This window comes from Homo sapiens, chromosome 7 (genome assembly GCF_000001405.40).
Source record: "Homo sapiens chromosome 7, GRCh38.p14 Primary Assembly".
NCBI lineage: Eukaryota > Metazoa > Chordata > Mammalia > Primates > Hominidae > Homo > Homo sapiens.
Genome location: NC_000007.14, coordinates 2891969 through 2910549, shown reverse-complemented (window position 1 = coordinate 2910549; position 18581 = coordinate 2891969). Strand labels below are relative to the sequence as shown.

The 18581-nt window shown below is 53.1% G+C and overlaps 1 protein-coding gene across 2 annotated transcripts in view, besides 2 other annotated features; it reads left to right on the top strand.

Annotated features, from left to right (window-relative positions):
- Positions 1-4408, top strand: part of CARD11 (caspase recruitment domain family member 11) — a 137726-nt gene extending 133318 nt beyond the window's left edge. For both annotated transcript variants that reach the window (NM_032415.7, NM_001324281.3), the window contains 2 exons: positions 385-500; positions 3708-4408. In NM_032415.7, the coding sequence (NP_115791.3) occupies positions 385-500; positions 3708-3912 (321 nt within the window). In that variant the 3' untranslated portion in view covers positions 3913-4408. The remainder of the gene's footprint in view (positions 1-384; positions 501-3707) is intronic.
- Positions 9567-9816: a silencer, noted in NCBI's record as "fragment chr7:2940368-2940617 (GRCh37/hg19 assembly coordinates)". NCBI's record gives its function as "represses an EF-1alpha promoter that drives an FKBP-Casp9 reporter gene in an ReSE screen in K562 erythroleukemia cells {active_cell/tissue: K562}" and the evidence as "EXISTENCE:reporter gene assay evidence [ECO:0000049][PMID:32094911]".
- Positions 13176-13677: an enhancer, noted in NCBI's record as "H3K4me1 hESC enhancer chr7:2936507-2937008 (GRCh37/hg19 assembly coordinates)". NCBI's record gives its function as "activates a minimal SCP1, AML or CMV promoter by ChIP-STARR-seq in naive H9 embryonic stem cells {active_cell/tissue: H9 hESC(naive)}" and the evidence as "EXISTENCE:reporter gene assay evidence [ECO:0000049][PMID:30033119]".

Sequence of the window (18581 nt, the reverse complement as noted above, 5' to 3'; positions counted from 1 at the left end):
AGACAGGGTTTTGCCGTGTTGGCCAGGCTGGTCTCGAACTCCTGACCCCAAGTGATCGGCCCGCCTGGGCCTCCCAAAGTGCTGGGATTACAGGCGTGAGCCACCACGCCCGGCTGGTAGCAGGTGTTTCATTCAAACTCATTCACGCCACCTGGTTCACCCCGTCCGGGGCCTCATCTCTGCCCATGAACATCACTGTGGTCAGCAGAGTCCTGGAGTGTCCAGACTCATGTGGGGGTCTCATCTCCTGGATCAGCGGCAGGTGGCTTTCAGGGCTCCCGCCCCGCTATAGACCCCAACCCTGCATCCAGGCCCCGCTGCAGGCACCTTCACAGGAGCGGGAGGTGGGTGGGCTGCTGCTGACCAAAGCCGCTGTGCCCGCAGAACAAGCACTGCCTGCTGGAGGCTGGGATCGGCTGCACAAGAGACTTGATCAAGTCCAACATCTACCCCATCGTGCTCTTCATCCGGGTGTGTGAGAAGAACATCAAGAGGTTCAGGTAGGGCTCCCAGACCCCTAAGGGCTGTCCCCTCCTGTCCCTAGCACCCCACCAAGCCTCCATGGATCGCAGGAGGCCTGTGTGCCCCCACCTCATGCACCCCTTTTGTAAACCCTCACCAAGTACGGGACTGACCTTGCAGAGCTGATGCCAAGGACAGCGGCCGAGATGGTGACTCACATATGGGGCGCATCCCAGGGGACAAGAGCTGGGAGGGACGGGGCGGAGTGCCCATCACCCAGGGTGGTCCGGGAAGGCCTGGGGTATCCATCAGCGAGACCCATGGCAGTGAGGGGGGCCTAGGAGATGAGAAAGAAGACGCAATCTGGGCAGCAGGGGAACAGCTGGTGCTCAGACCCTGAGACAGATGTTTGGGCGGAATGGTGAGGGACGGAGGGGTGAGGGGCGGAGTGGTGAGGGACAGAGGGGTGAGAGGCTGAGGAGTGAGGGGCGGAGGGTGAGGGACGGAGAGTGAGAGGCTGAGGGGTGAGGGGCGCAGGGGTGAGAGGCAGAGGGTGAGGGGTGGAGGGGTGAGGGGCGCAGGGGTGAGGGGCGGAGGGGTGAGAGGCTGGGGAGTGAGGGGCAGAGGGTGAGGGACAGAGGGGTGAGAGGCTGAGGAGTGAGGGGCGGAGGGTGAGGGACGGAGAGTGAGAGGCTGAGGGGTGAGGGGCAGCGGGTCCAGGCCATGCAGGGCCACGGGAGGCTGCGACATCTTGTTCTGGGTGCATCTGGAGGCCACTGAAGGTGGCATGGTCCACTTTAGGGTATAAACGCACCTCTCACCTCTGGACACGGGCAGGGTGGCGGTGTGGGCCGGGCTTCTGTCTGAGAGGCGATGAGAGGCAGTCTGACTCCGAATCCGTGTTCAGGGTCGAGCCTGCAGGATTCGGGAAAGGGTTCACTCTGGGGTTCCAGAGAACCAGAGGCTGGGCGCGGTGGCTCACGCCTATAATCCCCACACTTTGGGAGGCCAAGGTGGGCACATCAGCTGAAGTTGGTAGTTTGAGACCAGCTTGGCCAACATGGTGAAACCCCATCTCTACTAAAAATACAAAAAAAATTAGCTGGGCGTGGTGGCGGGCACCTGTAGTCCCAGCTACTCAGGAGGCAGAAGCAGGAGAATCGCTTGAACGTGGGAGGGGCAGGTTGCAGTGAGCTGAGATCGAGCCACTGCACTCCAGCCTGGGCGACAGAGTGAGACTCCATCTCAGAAAAAAAAAAACAAAAAAAAAAAAACGAAAGGACGGCGCTGAGGTTTGGGGCCTGGGTGATGAGGACAGACTGGCCCTTAAGTGGCTTCATCTCGGATCCCCGCCCCTCCTCGCACGCACCTGCAAAATAAATGTCCTGCCACCATTTTGCAGAGGGAATCACAGACTGAGAGTTTAGGCCCATTCATTCCTTTTCACCAGATACTCACTGAGCCATTGTGAAGGGTTAGGCTCTGGGGAACGCAGCAGTGAGCAAAAGAGACGGGCATCCCCCTCGATACCTCACACCCGTTAGGCTGGCCAGGACCAAAAGGACAGAAACTGACAAGTGTTGACGAGGAGGGTAGACGTCGGAACCCGGTGCACAGCTGCTGGAAATGCAAAAGAGAGCGGCCACTGTGGAGGACAGCATGGCGATGCCCCCAAAAATTAAAAATAGAATACTATATAATCCAGCAACCCCACCTGCGGGCATATCCCCAAGAGAATTGAGAGCAGGGTCTGTAAGAGACATATACACGCCCGTGTTCACAGCAGCGTTACTCCCAATAGCCAAAACGTAGACGTCACCTAAGGGTCGGTCTGTGGGGAGTGAATACACACAATAGGGCCCATCCATACAGGCTAGGAAGGTGGCAAGAGCTGAAAACCTTGCAAACTGTTAACAAAAAAAGAGTTGAAACAAAGAAACAATAATACATTTAATGCATGAGAAATACTAGCATGGTACATACCCCCTTCCCTGATCTGTCCTGCCTGGGAATGTGTTTATGGTGCAGTGTGTATCACAACAAAAATACTGTATGGAGTATTTTTTTTTTTTTGAGACGGAGTCTCACTCTGTCACCCAGGCTGAAGTGCAGTGGCACGATCTCGGCTCACTGCAGCCTCCACCTCCCAGGTTCAAGAGATTCTCCTACCTCAGCCTCCCGAGTAGCTGGGATTACAGGTGCCCACCACCATGCCTGGCTAATTTGTGTATTTTTACTAGAGATTGGGTTTCACCATGTTGGCCAGCTGGTCTCGAACTCCTGACTTCAAGTGATCCTCCTGCCTCGGCCTCCCAGAGTGCTGGGATTACAGGCCTGAGCCACCGCACCCGGCCCATAGAGTGGAGTATTATTCAGCCTTGAAAAGGAAGGAGATTCTCACACCCACTCCAACATGGATGAACCTTGAGGGTGTCATTCTCAGTTAAATAAGCCAGTTACAAAAACACACATGCTGTATGTGATTCCGCTTCTGTGAGGTCTCTAGAGCAGTCAGATTCCTAGAGACAGCAAGTAGAAGGGTGGTTCTCAGGGGCTGCCGGAGGGAAGATGGGGAGTGAGTATTTAATGGGCCCAGAGTTGCAGTTTGGGAAGTTGAGAAAGTTCTGGAGATTGGTTGCACAGCGGTGTGAATATACCTCATGCTACTGAATTACTCACTTAAAGAATAGGTAACATGGTTGATTTTATTTTATGCGTACCTTAGCACAATTAAAAATAAAAAGGATGTGGCCGGGAGCGGTGGCTCACGCCCATAATCCCAGCACCTTGGGAGGCCAAGGCAGGCAGGTCATTTGAGGTCGAGAGTTCAAGACCAGCCTGGCCAACAGGGTGAAACCCCATCTCTACTAAAAATATAAAAATTAGCCAGGCATGATAGCATATGCCTGTAGTCCCAGCTACTCAGGAGGCTGAGGCAGGAGAATCACTTGAACCCGGGAGGTGGAGGTTGCAGTGAGCCAAGAAAGTGCCACTGCACTCAAGCCTGGGCAACAGAGCAAGACTCCATCTCAATCAATCAATCAATCAATAAGGATGTATTTGGAATTTCCGATGAACAGCATGAAGGGGCACGGTCCCTAGCGTTAAGAGGCACGGACGCTATAGGGAGAAGCAAGGCAGGGAAGGGGTGGGGACCACGGCAGTCAGGGGTGGCCGGACAGGTGGTGCCACACCAGCGCCACGGCCTTGCAGCCTCCCCACAGCCCCTGCGTGTCTCCTCCCAGAAAGCTGCTGCCCCGACCTGAGACGGAGGAGGAGTTCCTGCGCGTGTGCCGGCTGAAGGAGAAGGAGCTGGAGGCCCTGCCGTGCCTGTACGCCACGGTGGAACCTGACATGTGGGGCAGCGTAGAGGAGCTGCTCCGCGTTGTCAAGGACAAGATCGGCGAGGAGCAGCGCAAGACCATCTGGGTGGACGAGGACCAGCTGTGAGGCGGGCGCCCTGGGCAGAGAGACTCTGTGGCGCGGGGCATCCTATGAGGCAGGCACCCTGGGCAGAGAGATGCAGTGGGTGCGGGGGGATCCTGTGGCCCACAGAGCTGCCCCAGCAGACGCTCCGCCCCACCCGGTGATGGAGCCCCGGGGGGACAGTCGTGCCTGGGGAGGAGCAGGGTACAGCCCATTCCCCCAGCCCTGGCTGACCTGGCCTAGCAGTTTGGCCCTGCTGGCCTTAGCAGGGAGACAGGGGAGCAAAGAACGCCAAGCCGGAGGCCCGAGGCCAGCCGGCCTCTCGAGAGCCAGAGCAGCAGTTGAATGTAATGCTGGGGACAGGCATGCTGCCGCCAGTAGGGCGGGGACCCGGACAGCCAGGTGACTACCAGTCCTGGGGACACACTCACCATAAACACATCCCCAGGCAGGACAGATCGGGGAAGGGGTGTGTACCAGGCTATGATTTCTCTTGCATTAAAATGTATTATTATTTCTTTGTTTCGACCCTTTGTTTGTGAACAGCTTGCCAGGCCTTGAGCCCTTGCCGCCTTCCTAACCTGAAAACCATGCCCAGTGAGCTTAGCTGGAGACTCAGGCCCCATGTTCCTGGGTAGGGTGAAGGTGGGGTGACCACACACCCCAGGGTCCCAGGACAGGCCTGATTTACCCCTGGGCTTAGGGTAATACTTGCTAATCGCACCCTATGGACTCAAATGCATCCTGATTTGGAAGATCAATAAATTATCTTGTCACCCTGAGAAGGGCCCATCCTCTCACTGACCCTGGGGAGCCCTTGCAGTCTGTGTCTGGCCTGCCCCGTAACTCCAGCCCTGAGGCCAGGCCCCCGTCACTCAGCTCTTCTCTGCACATAACTGCCCCTGCCCCACATTCAATGTCCCTAAAGGGCAGCCCCGCTTCCTCCTGCAGGTCAGGAGCAAGCACGTGAGGTACAGCCCTCTGGGGGGTTCATACCCCACTTCCCAGGAGCTTGAGGGGTGCAGGAAAGCCACGCCCGCTCCCCAGCAGGTAGCAAAAGTCCTAGGAGTTCTAGAACCATTCTTCTCCTTCACCCCCTTGACGCAAATTTGCCGAGTGTGGACCTGACAGGCACAGCCAAACCAGGCCAGGTTGCACCCTCACGGGGCACCACACTGCATGTGCAGGAAGCTACTGGGTGGCAGGCTCGGATTCAAACCCGGGTCTGTCTGAATGTGGGAACTGTGGGAGCAACTGCTCACTAACAACCTAATACCCAGATTCCCCTTCCTTCCTAAGAGAATCCTGACTCATCCTGGGAATCTACATGCACAGCTCAAAGACCATATATCCCAGCCTCCCTTGCAATTAGGGAAATGTAAGGGGAAGTTTGGGGGAGAGACAAATGGCGCTTCCTCCAGTTTTCTGCTGCGGATGCAGACGCAATGGCTGGAGCACCAGCAGTGTTCTTGCATCTTGAGGTGACTGTGAGGGTGGAAACCCCACTTGGAGGATGGCAGATCAGAAAGAAAGAAGGAGCCACAGTCACTGATGATACTTGGGGGCCCAGGACTGCTGCTTGGGTTTCTTTTACATGAGACAGAAAGAAATTTGTGTCTTGTGTTAAATGACTGTTATTTCAGTTCTCTGTTACTTGCAGCCAAGAGCAATTCCTAACAAATACAGGAGAAAACTTTATTCTTTATAGTTTCAAATACCATGGGCATGGGTTAATCCTCTGCTGGGTTTTTACCGCTTAGACAAGGTATGAATTATTAATAAAAGCACTCTATTAATAAAGATCTCTTCCAAAAAAAGAAAATACTGTGTGGCCTGTAGCATTTTCTGGCATTTTGACCTACAGAAGACAAATTAGCAGCAGAAATCTCCAGGAGGTGGGAGTGAATGCATGGGGGTCCTAGGAGGATGCCTTGTTCTTGCCTCCTCCCTCACAATCCATCTCTGCACCACCAGCTCCGGGTCTGCCAGGGAGTGTGACACCTTGAAAAACAGTGTCTCCCTCCAAGAGCCCATGAGCAATGCTGCTTTTTCCAAGACAGCCCCCAGAAACAAGCTAGACGTGCTGGGTGTAGAGAGGCCGTGACTCCTAGGTGCAGCTGCCGTTATTTAGGGCCAAATAAACCACCACACGAGGCCATGCTAGGGCCGGAAGGCCTGCAGCTTCCATCTTGTGAAAGCCTTAAGTTAAAATGTAAACCTCCCCCAAGCCGAGGGCTTCGTGTTTCGGCCTGGAAGCTGTGCTTCCTCGTAAAGCGCTCCGTGCTGAGTGGACAGACGTGACCGGGAAGGAGTCTCGGACAAAAAGCCAGCTGAGTGATTTATATCATTTGTTTGACTTCAGAACTCTCGGGTGGCTGAGCAGAATAAGCAAACAGGTGGCTTGCATGTCATTTGGGAGGACAAGTGGGGTGGAGATAAGCTGTGCGTAGGGAAAGATATCTGAAAAGAATCTGTGGTGGGGTTTCTTTTCCCCCTTGCCTTGCCCGAGTGATTTTAACCAGGATCGAGAGTGCAGGGCTGTGGGGTGGATAATTGCTAATAAGCGGGTGAGAGGAGGCAGGGGCCGAGGGCTGGAATGAGGTTCCCTCTTCCCTTCCCTTCTCTGATGAAATGGTGAAGGCAGCAGGGGAGTGGGGTTGGCACCCCGGGGACGGGTCCACATGAGGATTTCCAAGGAGACCTCCAGCATCATCGGCTTCAGCCCCCAGGTCCTGCCTGTTCAGCTGCCAGCAACCCCTGTGTCTGCCTGGTGAGCCGAGTGGGGTCTGGGAGGCCGGGGAGGGAGGCACGGAGCTCTTTGCACCGTCTGCCTGCAAGTCCAAGTATTGCACAAGGGCCTGCAAGCTGAGTTTTGACTGCAGAGCCAGCCCAGGGCTCAGGGAAGCTCCCCGTACAGCAAAGCCTGGAGCCCGAGGCTCTGGATGCCTGTGCCAAGCCGACAATGCCACAACGATGCTTGGTTCACACCATGGGCACCAGCCACGCAGCCCAGAGCCACTGTGAGAGGCGAGCACTGGAAATTGTGTCGTATGTGTAGACACACACTTTTCTGGGGAGAAAGTCCAGCCTTTCTCAGATTCCCAAAGGGTGTTGCAATCCCAAAAAGATAAAGAACTATTGCTCTGGGATTTGGCAAATATGAGCAAATGTTTTTTGAGCTCCTCCTCTGTGCTGAGCACCTTGTAAATGTTATTTTACTTATCCCCAAACTCTTCTCCATGTTATACAGGTGAAAATTGAGGCTCAGAGAGGTTAAGTGACTTGACCAAGGTCACACAGCTGGTAAGCTGGAACTTCACCCAGGTCTGCTGATTTGCAACTGTAAGCTCGGGGCTGGATTTTCCATTTCTGAGGTGCTGTTTGGGGTCCCAGGGCCTTTGGTCGTGTGTCCCCTCTGCTCTTCTAGGGACCAAGGAAGTGGTTGGTGTCCCAGGCAGTGGCTGGCTGGGGGCTGGGTGGCTGGGTGACATAATGACCACACTGAGAGGATGTGAATTTCCTCTCTTGTTTGTGGTTTTTTGTTTGGTTGCATTTGTTTTTGCTTTTGTTTTGTTTTTGGTTTTCGTTTTTGTTTTTTTTTTTTCTTTTTTTGAGACAGAGTCTCACTCTGTCACCCAGGCTGGAGTGCAGTGGCACGATCTTGGCTCACTGCAACCTCCACCTCCCAGGTTCAAATGATTCTTGTGCCTCAGCCTCCTGAGTAGCTGGGACTACTGGTGTGCACCACCACCACTCCCGGCTAATTTTTGTATTTTTAATAGAGACAGGGTTTCACCATGTTGGCCAGGCTGGTATCGAACTCCTGACCTCAGTTGATCTGCCTGCCTCGGCCTCCCAAAGTGCTGGGATCACTTGAGGTCAGGAGTTCCAGACCAGCCTGGGCAACGTAGTGAGACCTTGTTTCTACAAAGAATATTTAAAAATTAGCTGAGCATGGTGATTCATGCCTGTAGTCCCAGCTACTGTGCTGGGATTACAGGATTTCCTCTCTTGGAAGAGTCGGTCTGCTCACCCGCTGGTAGTGTCGGCCCGCTGGCCCTGGGCTTCTACCTAACCAGGTCACAATTCTGAGAAACGCTGGTTTTCTCACCCAACCCAGGAAGGGGGCTGCTTTGGGGAGGGGGTGAATGCAGGAGTGAGATGTCTTTGAGCCCTGGCATCATGCCACCATGCTGTTCTCAAAAGCCATCACAGGCTGGGTGTGGGGGTTCACACCTGGAATCCCAGCAGTTTGGAAGGCCAAGGTAGGCATATCTCTTAAGCTAGCATCCAGGCTGGAGTGCAGTGGTATGAATATGGCCCACTTACAGCCTCAACCTTCTGGGCTCAATCCTCCAGCCTCATCCTCCCTAGTAGCTGGGACTACAGGCATGCATCACCATGCTCAGCTAATTTTTAAACATTCTTTGTAGAGACGAGGTCTCACTACATTGCCCAGGCTGGCCTGGAACTCCTGACCTCAAGAGATGGTCCCATCTCGGACTCCCAAAGTGCTGGGATTCCAGGAGTGAGCCACCGCACGGCCTCTCGCATTCCTTTTGACAGCCATGTGGTGCTCTGCCGGTGCTGGCCTGTCCTTCCGTCACCAGTCCTTGTTGGTAGACAGCCGTCATTTCCAGGGAATCACTGTTGAGCATCATTTTGAACAGTTCTTCTCTGCAAGATAGTCCCCCAAGAGGGGCCATGCACTGATTTCCTTGGAGGGAGCCCCACGGCCCTCCCCGGAGGGTGCACGCACACAGACGGGGCTTCGTGATGGCCACAGCAGGCTGGCGGCGCTGGCCTGGGACGTTTCCATTTCGGCCTGTCCAACCATAGGGGCAGGGGTCAGTGTGGATGGTGGACTCACCTGTCTCGGTTACACCCTAAGCTCTGGGAACCTGGTCCCAGGGCCGCTGTTCTTTACTGCAGAGTAGTGCATGTGGTTTGTGAACCACGGTGGTTCTTCCCCGGGAGAGTCTGGGGAGACGCTTGGTGCTGGGACCCCACCACCTCTACAAGATACAGACTGATCCCCACCCCCCCATCCTGTGAGGGACACTAATCCAGTCCACACAGGCCTAAAACCCACTCACCTTGTTACTCCCAAACCTGCCCCTCTCCTCCCCAGCCCACCCTTAACTCAGTCACTCAGCCAGAAACCCAGGTAACACGGGCACTGTCTCTCCCCTCTCCTCTCCTCTCCATCTGTACAGGCAACTGTACACACACATTCACAGCGGCACTGTTCACAACAGCCAGAAGGTGGAAGCCAGCCAAGTGTCCATCAAGTGGTGAATGGATACGCAAAATATAGTCCATCCACACAATGGAATATTGCTCAGCCATGAAAAGGAATGAGGCTGGGCATGGTGGCTTATGCCTGTAAGCCCAACACTTTGGGAAGCCAAGATGGGAGATGGCTTGAGCCCAGGCATTCGAGACCAGCCTGGGTAACATAACAAGACCCCATCTTTACTAAAAATAAGAAACAGGGCCGGACACGGTGGCTCATGCCTGTAATCCCAGCACTTTGGGAGGCCGAGGTGGGTGGATCACAAGGTCAGGAGATCGAGACCATCCTGGCCAACACGGTGAAACCCCATCTCTACTAAAAATACAAAAAATTAGCTGGGCGTGGTGGCGGGCGCCTGTAGTCCCAGCTACTCTGGAGGCTGAGGCAGGAGAATGGCGTGAACCCAGGAGGCGGAGCTTGCAGTGCGTCGAGATTGCGCCACTGCACTCCAGCCTGGGCGACAGAGTGAGACTCCATCTCAAACAAACAAACAAACAAAAAAAAAAAAAACAGGCTGTGCATGGTGGCTCATGCGTGTAATCCCAGCACTTACTTTGGGAGGCTGAGGCAAGCAGACCACCTGAGGTCAGGAGTTTGAAACCAACCTGGCCAATATGGTGAAACCCTGTCTCCACTAAAAATACAAAAATTAGCTCGGTGTGATGGCATGTGCCTGTAATCCTAGCTACTCAGGAGGCTGAGGCAGGAGAATGGCTTGAACCTAGGAGGCGGAGGTTGCAGTGAGCCGAGATCGTGCCATTGCTCTCCAGCCTGGGTGATAGAACAAGACTCCGTCTCAAAAAAAATAAAAATAATAAAAAACAAAAAAAATCTAGCTGGGTTTGGGGATGCACACCTATAGTTCCAGCTACCTGGGATGCTGAGGCAGGAGGATCGCTTGAGCCCGGGAGCTCGAGGCTGCAGTGAGCTTTAATTGTGTCACTGCACTCCAGCCTGAGCAACCGAGTAAGACCCTGTCTCAAAAAAAAAAAAAAGGGGGGGAACGAAATGCTGATACGCATGGCAACCTAGATGAACCTTGAAAACACTATGCTCAGTGAAACAAGCCAGCCACAAAAAGACAAATATTGTAGGATTTCATTTATATGAAATGTCCAGAATAGGCAAATCCCTAGAGGCAAAAAAAAAAAAAGATTAGCAGTTACCAGGCGTCAGGGAGAGAGGAATGGGAGTGACTGCTTCATAAGTGCAGGGTCTCTTTTTAGGGTGATGAAACTGTTTGGAACTAGACAGTGATGCTGATTGCACGGCATTGTGAATGTACTGAGTTGTACACTTTAAAATCGTTAAAATGGTGAAGTTTAGGTCATATGTACTTTTGCACCATTGTTTTTAAAAAAAAGAAAACGCGTGGGCCGGGCGCGGTGGCTCACGCCCGTAATTCCAGCACTTTGGGAGGCCAAGGTGGGCGGATCATGAGGTCAGGAGATCGCGACCATCCTAGCTAAATCTCCTGGCTAACACGTTGAAACCCCATCTCTACTAAAACATACAAAAAATTGGCCGGGCGTGGTGGCGGGCGCCTGTAGTCCCAGCTACTTGGGAGGCTGAGGCAGGAGAATGACGTGAACCCGGGAGGCGGAGCTTGCAGTGAGCCGAGACTGCGCCACTGTACTCCAGCCTGGGCGACAAAGCGAGACTCCATCTCAAAAAAAAAAGAAAAAAGAAAAAAGCATGAACAAAAGCGAATCTTTCCTTTCCCTCTGGCTGCAGGAGGAGGAAGGCCGTCAGGAGGGGCAGCCTGCAGGGCCCCCCCCAACTTTCCTTCACTTGTTCTAACATTCACTCACCGACCAATTTCAGGGCATCCTCAGGGTGAACATGCCCCACGGGAAGGGGTTCTGGTGAAAGGGTAGGAGAGGAACGATCAATTCCGCCAGGGGCTCAAAGCGGGAGGGTCAGAGGTGAGGCCTGAAGGATGAGTTAGATCTCACTGAGTGTGTCCTCGTAGACTGTGGGTAGAGGAAAAGCGAAGCTGAGGTTCGAAGCCTGGAAAGAGTGGTCAGGGACCAGTCATGGATTCAGCTAGTCATGGCCTTGGCAGAGCTGATCCATTGGGGAAAATACTGGATTCTTCCTTACCAGTTGAAGAGCAGTTACCGCTCCAAGCCCCACCGTCTGCCTCCCTGGCTCTGTGACCCTAATGGGTTTGTTGCCCATTGGACATAGCAGGCCAATACACCAAGGCATCAGCTTGCAGCAGAGAAAGGGGTTTAATCGCAGGGTCGCCAAACCTCAACTCCACCTCCCCGAGGAATTTGGGATTTGGGTTTTAATTACAAGTCAATAAAAATCCAATTCCTCTGTCACATGAGCCACATTTCAAATGTTGAAGAGCCTCATGGGGCTAGTGGCTACGGTATGGGGCAGAGCAGATTAGAGAACATTTCCATCATTGCAGATACTTCTATGCGCCTGCCCTGCCTTGGACAGTCGCTGAGTTCCTGCCATGTCCCTGGAACCACAGGGATGGGTCCAAGAGCCCAGAGATTTATCAGCCCCAGTCCCTATTCTCAAGGTGCTGACAGCTTGTTGGGATAGGCATGCAATTAAACAAGTTATTACATTGCCACTGGAGTTGCCCAGGTGCCAGCAAGAATGTAAATGAGTGAAGTGGACCAGAGTAATGCAATAGGGACAGGCGGGGACTGTGGCAAATTGGAGAGGACATAATCCACTTAAAAGGGACACCTGGAACTCAGCCTCAATTGCTTGGTGTCATGCAGGAAGCAGGCTCTTTCTGGCCAGAACAGATTGTTCAAGAAAACTGTTGGTTTTGTCAGGTAGGTTGCCTCATTATCACAAAATAGCTGCCACCAATCCAGATATCACATCTTCACATGCTGGTGCCCAAAGCAAAAATGGAGGGCCTCCTCCTCAGTTAGGATTTCTCCTTATTTTTTTTTTTTTTTTAGAGACAGGGTCTTACTCTGTCACCCAGGCTGGAGTGCAATGGCATAATCATGGCTCACTGCAGCCTCCAACTCCTGGGCTCAAGCAGTCCTCGCACCTCAGTCTCCAGAGTAGCTGGGACTACAGGCACATGCCACCACACCTGACAAATGTTTAAAAAATATTTTATGCAGACAGATTCTCACTATGCTGCCAGGCTGGTCTCAAACTCCTGGCCTCAAATGATCCTCCTGCCTCGGCCTCCCAAAGTGCTGGGATTACCAGTATGAGCCACCATGCCTGGCCAAGAAGCAAAAGTCTTCGAGTTCCTTTACTTGGTTGCTGGGCTGTGTTTCTTGGCTTCAGACACTTCTGAGAGACTGCCCTTGGGTCACACCTTTGGAGGGGCGGACAAGATTCATGGCCAGAAAGTGGACAGCCTCCAGGCCCCATGAAGACAGTGAAACTATCAGAAACCGAGGCCACACCCAGCCCAGACCAGCAAGAGCCGATTGTGGATACCTCTTCCCAAGTCCCTATTCAGTGACTTTACAGGGGCAGCTTGATATTGGCATGATGGAGGTGTTTATACCAGGGAGGTGGCAAAAGCCATGAATCAGGATTTTTCCCCAGAGAGCAGGGAACTTTTTTTTTTTTTTTTTTTTTTATGGAGACAGAGTCTCACTCTGTCACCCAGGCTGGAGTACAATGGTGCGATCTCGGCTCACTGCAACCTCCACCTCCCGGGTTCACACCATTCTCCTACCTCAGCCTCCTGAGTAGCTGAGACTACAGGTGCACGCCGCCACGCCCAGCTAATTTTTTTGTATTTTAGTAGAGACGGGGTTTCACCATGTTGCCCATGCTGGCCTTGAACTCCTGAGCTCAGGCAATCCGCCTGCCTCGGCCTCCCAAAGTGCTAGGGTTACAGGCATGAGCCACTGCGCCGGGCCAGCAGGGAACCTTTCCTAGCACGTCTGTCTACAACTTTCTCCCAGACAGGGGACACCTGGTTCTTCTCATCTCTGCCTTTCGCACAACGGGATCCTCTCTCTCCTCTCTGAGTCTGCTTCCAGTGACCATTTTTATACTCAGCCCGCATATCCATATGGCTTCCAGCCCAGTGCTGCAGGAGGAATCTGACTGGACCAGCAGGCTTCCGGCTCGACTCACTGCGGGACCAGGCAGGGTCACATGGCGGGAAGGTGGCTGCCCAGGCCTGTGCGTTCAGCGGGGTTGTGGGGACTGGCCATCCTCAGGGAAGAGGTCACCAGTAGGGGGCACACCAGGGACACCCACTCCCGAGATCCCACGTGGCCCACCCTACTCTGTGACCCAGGCTTTTCTCAAGACACATTTCATTCCCCCAGGCCTTCACCGACCAGTACGCTGAGGAGGAAAACACAATAAACTTCAAGAAAAACACCAGAGGGCTCATAGGGACATTCTGGCAGGTTGGAGACGCAATTCAGAGAGAGAGGAGGGGCCGAGAGGGCAAGTGGACGGCTCCCTGGGCAACCCTTCCTCAGGTCATACCTACCTTTTCTCCCGATCCACGGATTTCATTGAATTTTTGTGTGTTAAAAATAACTGGCAGGGTGCAGTGGCTCACGCCTGTAATCCAGCACTTTGGGAGGCCGAGGCAGGTGGATCACCTGAGGTCAGGAGTTTGAGACCAACCTGGCCAACATGGTGAAACCTGAAACCCCGTCTCTACTAAAAATACAAACATTAGCCGGGCGTGGTGGCGAGCGCCTGTAATCCCAGCTACTAGGGAGGCTGAGGCAGGAGAATCACTTGAACCCGGGAGGCAGAGGTTGCAGGGAGCCGAGATCGCGCCATTGCACTCCAGCCTGGGTAACAAGAGCGAAACTCCCTCTCAAAAACAAAAAATAATAGTAATAATCAGAAACTGAAAGCAGACGTCTCTTTTGCCCATGGCCAGCTCACGGTGGGGGGCCTCTGGGGAGCTGGGTCTAGCAGTGCTTCACCTAAGAGGTCAAAGGGCTCCCCCTCCCCACGGGCCTGAGTCCCTTTGCCATCGGCAGCTCCCCTCCTGCCCCGGCACCTGGCCTGGCCTCTTGTTATCAGATCTCTGTTGATGAACTAGAGCAGCAACCCCAGGGCTGGGATAGCCACAGCCCTACCCAGGCAGCTGCCTGTGTTCCCATTGATCTCCCATCACATCCCATTACCGTCACTGCCGCACACATGCCTCTGAGTGCCCGCTTTGGGCGAGCGGAGTGGGGCTTGCAGCTCCTTTTGCTTGAGGCCTCTGGGTCTTCTAACCTTGAAGGTGACCTCCAAACTAGGCAAAGAGAACGGTCCCCTCCAGCAGACAAGGGTACCTACCATGCACCTGCCCATTTACACCTGGTGTTTACAAACCCAGCACAGACCTGCTCCCCTGGTGACCATCATTCCTACTTTACAGATGGGGAAACTGAGGCTCAGGGGGGTCTCACATCTGGGAACAGAGCTGAGATCTGAAGACAGAAACCTCCAGCTGGGCACAGTGGCTCACACCTCTCATCCCAGCACTTTGGGAGGCCGAGGTGGGAGGATCACTTGAAGCCAGGTGTTCAAGATCAGCCGGGGAAACATAGTGAGACCTTGTCTTTGCAAAAAAAAGTTTAATTGGCCAGCGTGGTGACACACACTGTAGTCCTTGCTACTCAGGAGGCTGAGGTGGGAGGATCACTTGAGCACGGGAGTTGAAGGCTACAGTAATCCGTGATGGTACAATCCAGCCTGAGCCACAGAGTGAGACCCTGTCTCTAAAAGTAACTATAATAATGAACAGGGGAACTTTCGAGGGCTTCTCACGGCCGCCTCAGGGCTTACTTGGTACAAGCTTCACTGAGGTGTGCATCAGGTCCAAGGACAGAGGTCAAGGTCAGACAAAATTCAGGAAGACTGGAGTTCCCAGGTGCTCAGGAGGCAGTGCTGAAAAATGAGAGGGGTGGGGGCCGGACGCAGTGGCTCACGCCTGTAATCCCAGCACTCTGGGAGGTGGAGGCGGGAAGATACCTGAGGTTGGGAGTTTGAGACCAGCCTGGCCAACATAGTGAAACCCCATCTCTACTAAAAATACAAAAAATTAGCTGGGCGTGGTGGTGTGTGCCTGTAGTCCCAGCTACTCAGGAAGCTAAGGCAGGAGACTTGCTTGAACCCGGGAGGCAGAGGTTGCGGTGAGTCCAGATCTCGCCACTGTACTCCAGCCTGGGTGATGAAGTGAGACTCTCTCTCAAAAAAAAAAAAAAAAAAAAGTTTTTAATTAAAAAAAAAACTAAAATTAAAATTTAAAAAAAAAAAAAGAATGAGAAGGGTGGGCCACCAATACTGGTACATATGTGGGGGCTCAGCTCAGAGCCCTGGCCCCTCCTCCCTGCAGACCCAGATATGGAGAGGTTGGTCCTGACTGAGGGTCCCCAGCATGGCCCACTTCCTGCACTGCCCCTGGGGTCAACAAGGCCCCTGGTGCCAACAAGGTCCTCTGCACAGGAGCACCCCAACCTGGGTCCCTGAACTCCTCGGTATCGTCCTTCCCTGGCAGCCCCAAGGCAAGACAGCCGGGGCCCTTGGCAGGAAGCTGGGGCTCACGCTGTGGGCAGGAGCTGCAGCTGCGCCGGGAAGCAGGTGGGTGAGGCGGGGGCGTGGAGGAGAGAGAGGAGAAAGGATTGGGGGCTTTCTGGTTTGTTTGGCTACTAAAATTAGCTGTTTGTGAACAGGGGGCCAAAGGCTCACACCCTCTCCTCTCAGCACAGTCTGCTTTGAAACCCCAGGTGCTTGGCTAAAAATTGTATTGAAAGTTTCCACGCGGCTTGGGGTGACTGGAAATGAGTCTCTGATACAGGATTGTCTTTCTTCCTTATTACATGTCACATTCAGTTCTGATGTTGTTTTGACCGACGCTGTGTGCCCCTCCTAGCTTGTATGATGGGTGGGATACGAACGCAGGTATGAGGCTGTGAAATTGCATTTGCTTCTGTGTGTGTGCGAGACAGGGAGACAGAGAGACAGAAGAGGAAGAGGAGGAGGGACGGAGGAAGGGATGAAGAAGGAGACACAGAGAGGAAGGACCAAGGAAGGGAGAGAGAAGGAGAAGGAGGCAGGGAAGGAGGGAGGGAGAGACAGAAACAGGAAGAGGGGAAACAGAACAGAGAGAAAAAGAGAAACAGAAAGAAACACACACACACAGGCTTTTAGACCACTAGCTGCTTGGCTGTTACCAGCCAAGGCCCAGGTGGACATTAGGTGTCTTGTTTTTTTCTTTTTCCTTTTTCTTTTTCTTTTTGAGAGAAGTTCTTGCTCTGTTACGCAGGCTGGAGTGCAGTGGTATGATCACAGCTCACTGCAGCCTCGACCTCCTGAGCTCAATCTCCTGCCTCAGCCTCCAGAGTAGCTGGGACCACACACACGCACCACCACACCTAGCTAATTTTCTTTCTTTTTTTTTTTTTTAAGAAATAGGGTCTCATTATGTTGCCCAAGCTGGTCTCAAACTCCTGGGCTCAAGCAATCCTCCACCTCAGCCTACCAAAGTGCTGAGATGACAGGTATGAGCCACCACGCCTGGCCTGGGGTCTTGGTGATGGAGTAGCCGGGCCCCCAGATGTGCCATCCCATGTGATTTCACAGTGAGGAGTCCTAGGGTGTCTGTTGGCTGGGAGATGCCCATATTGTGGGATGACGTGGAGCCCCAGGGTTGGAAATGGCCACATCTGAGCTCTCTGACAGCTTTCTGTAAGCCCAGGGAGGTAACGTCACACTAGAAAGGCTGGGTGACGAGCCACAGGAAGTCACTGTGAGGACCCAGTGAGCCCGTGCAAGGGGACCCCCCCACATGCAAGGGGACCCCCACATAGGCACCTCCAGCCCAGCTGTTAAATGGCCAGCCTAGTAGAGCCAGGTCCTCTTGGCATCTCTGCTTGGATTTCCCCAAATTCAGTGTCCAAATCCAAACAAACCGCCGGGTACGGTGACTCACATCTGTAATCCCAGCACTTTGGGAGGCCAAGACAGGCGGACCACCTGAGGTCAGGAGTTTGAGACTAGCTTGGCCAACGTGGTGAAACCCCATCTCTACTAAAAATACAAAAAAAAAAAAAATCAGCCGGGCATGGTGGCAGGCGCCTGTAATCCCAGCTACTCTGGGAGGCTGAGGCAGAAGAATCACTTGAACCCAGAAGGCAGAGATTGCAGTGAGCCGAGATCGTGCCACTGCACTCCAGCCCGGGCTACAGAGGGAGACTCCATTTCAAAAAAATAAATAATTTTTAAAAATAAACCCAACACTTTCTCCCTGGAAAGAGGAAACCTGTTCCTCTTCCCCCTCCACCAATGGCATCCCCACCCACCAGTCACTCAGGCTTAAAGCCCAAGCCTCATCCCCGGTTCCCAGCTGAACCCCAACAGACACCTCAAATCCCCTGCTTCTCTCCAGCCCCACCCTCTGCTCCATCTGAACCATGAACTCCCCTGAGCCTCTGAAAGCCCAGAGACTCCCTTCTCAAAATAACATTTTCAAATGCATGAAATAAAACACACAGGATCGCAAAGGAAGCCAACTTTCTTATCAAAATATTTAAAGAGCAAATGGGTAATCCGGTAATTTGCATGCTTTTTTGTGTGTGTGGTGAGTGAATGTATTAAATCACAGGATTGAATAACAAGCTCTGGCAGTGGGGCCAACAGCTGTCGTTATTCTGGAGTTGTGACAAGCATGCTTGGTGTTTCACGCTACCTGCGGCAGCTGCAGTGGGATGGGAAGACCCCCGTGTTTCTACTGATGAACGTGTCCCAGGCGCTGCATCATGCCTCTGCAGTTTTGTTTTTTTTTTTCTTCCATTCATTCATAAGGCAAGGAAATGCTCACTTTCCATTAGGGGGTAGGGAAAATAAAGATGTCATTTTTTTTTTCCATTCAACATTCACAGACTCCCTGAATTCTCTATCCATGGATTCGAATGAAGAGCGCCCTGATGGAGGGATCTTTCTGGAACACAAATTGGAGTGTCACTGTGATGATTGAGACCTTCCCATTGGAAGCTACCAGAATTGCTAATTTTTTTTTTTTATTTTTTTTTTTGAGATGGAGTCTTGCTCTGTCACCCAGGTTGGAGCGCATTGGCGTCATCTCGGCTCACTACACCTCCACCTCCCAAGTTCAAGCGATTCCCGTGCCTCAGCCTCCCGAGTAGCTGGGATTACAGGCTTGCACCACCACGCCCGGCTAATTTTTGTATATTTTTTTTTTAGTAGAGACAGGGTTTCATTCACCATGTTGGCCAGGCAGGTCTCGAACTCCTGACCTCAAGTGATCTATGCACCTCAGCCTCCCACAGTGCTGGGATTACAGGCGTGAGCCACCACGCCCAGCCTGGAATTACTATTATTTATTTTTTTATATTTTATTTTTTAGTAGAGAGGAGGTCTCGCTATGTTGCCCAGGCTGGTCTTGAACTCCTAAGCCAGGGCAACC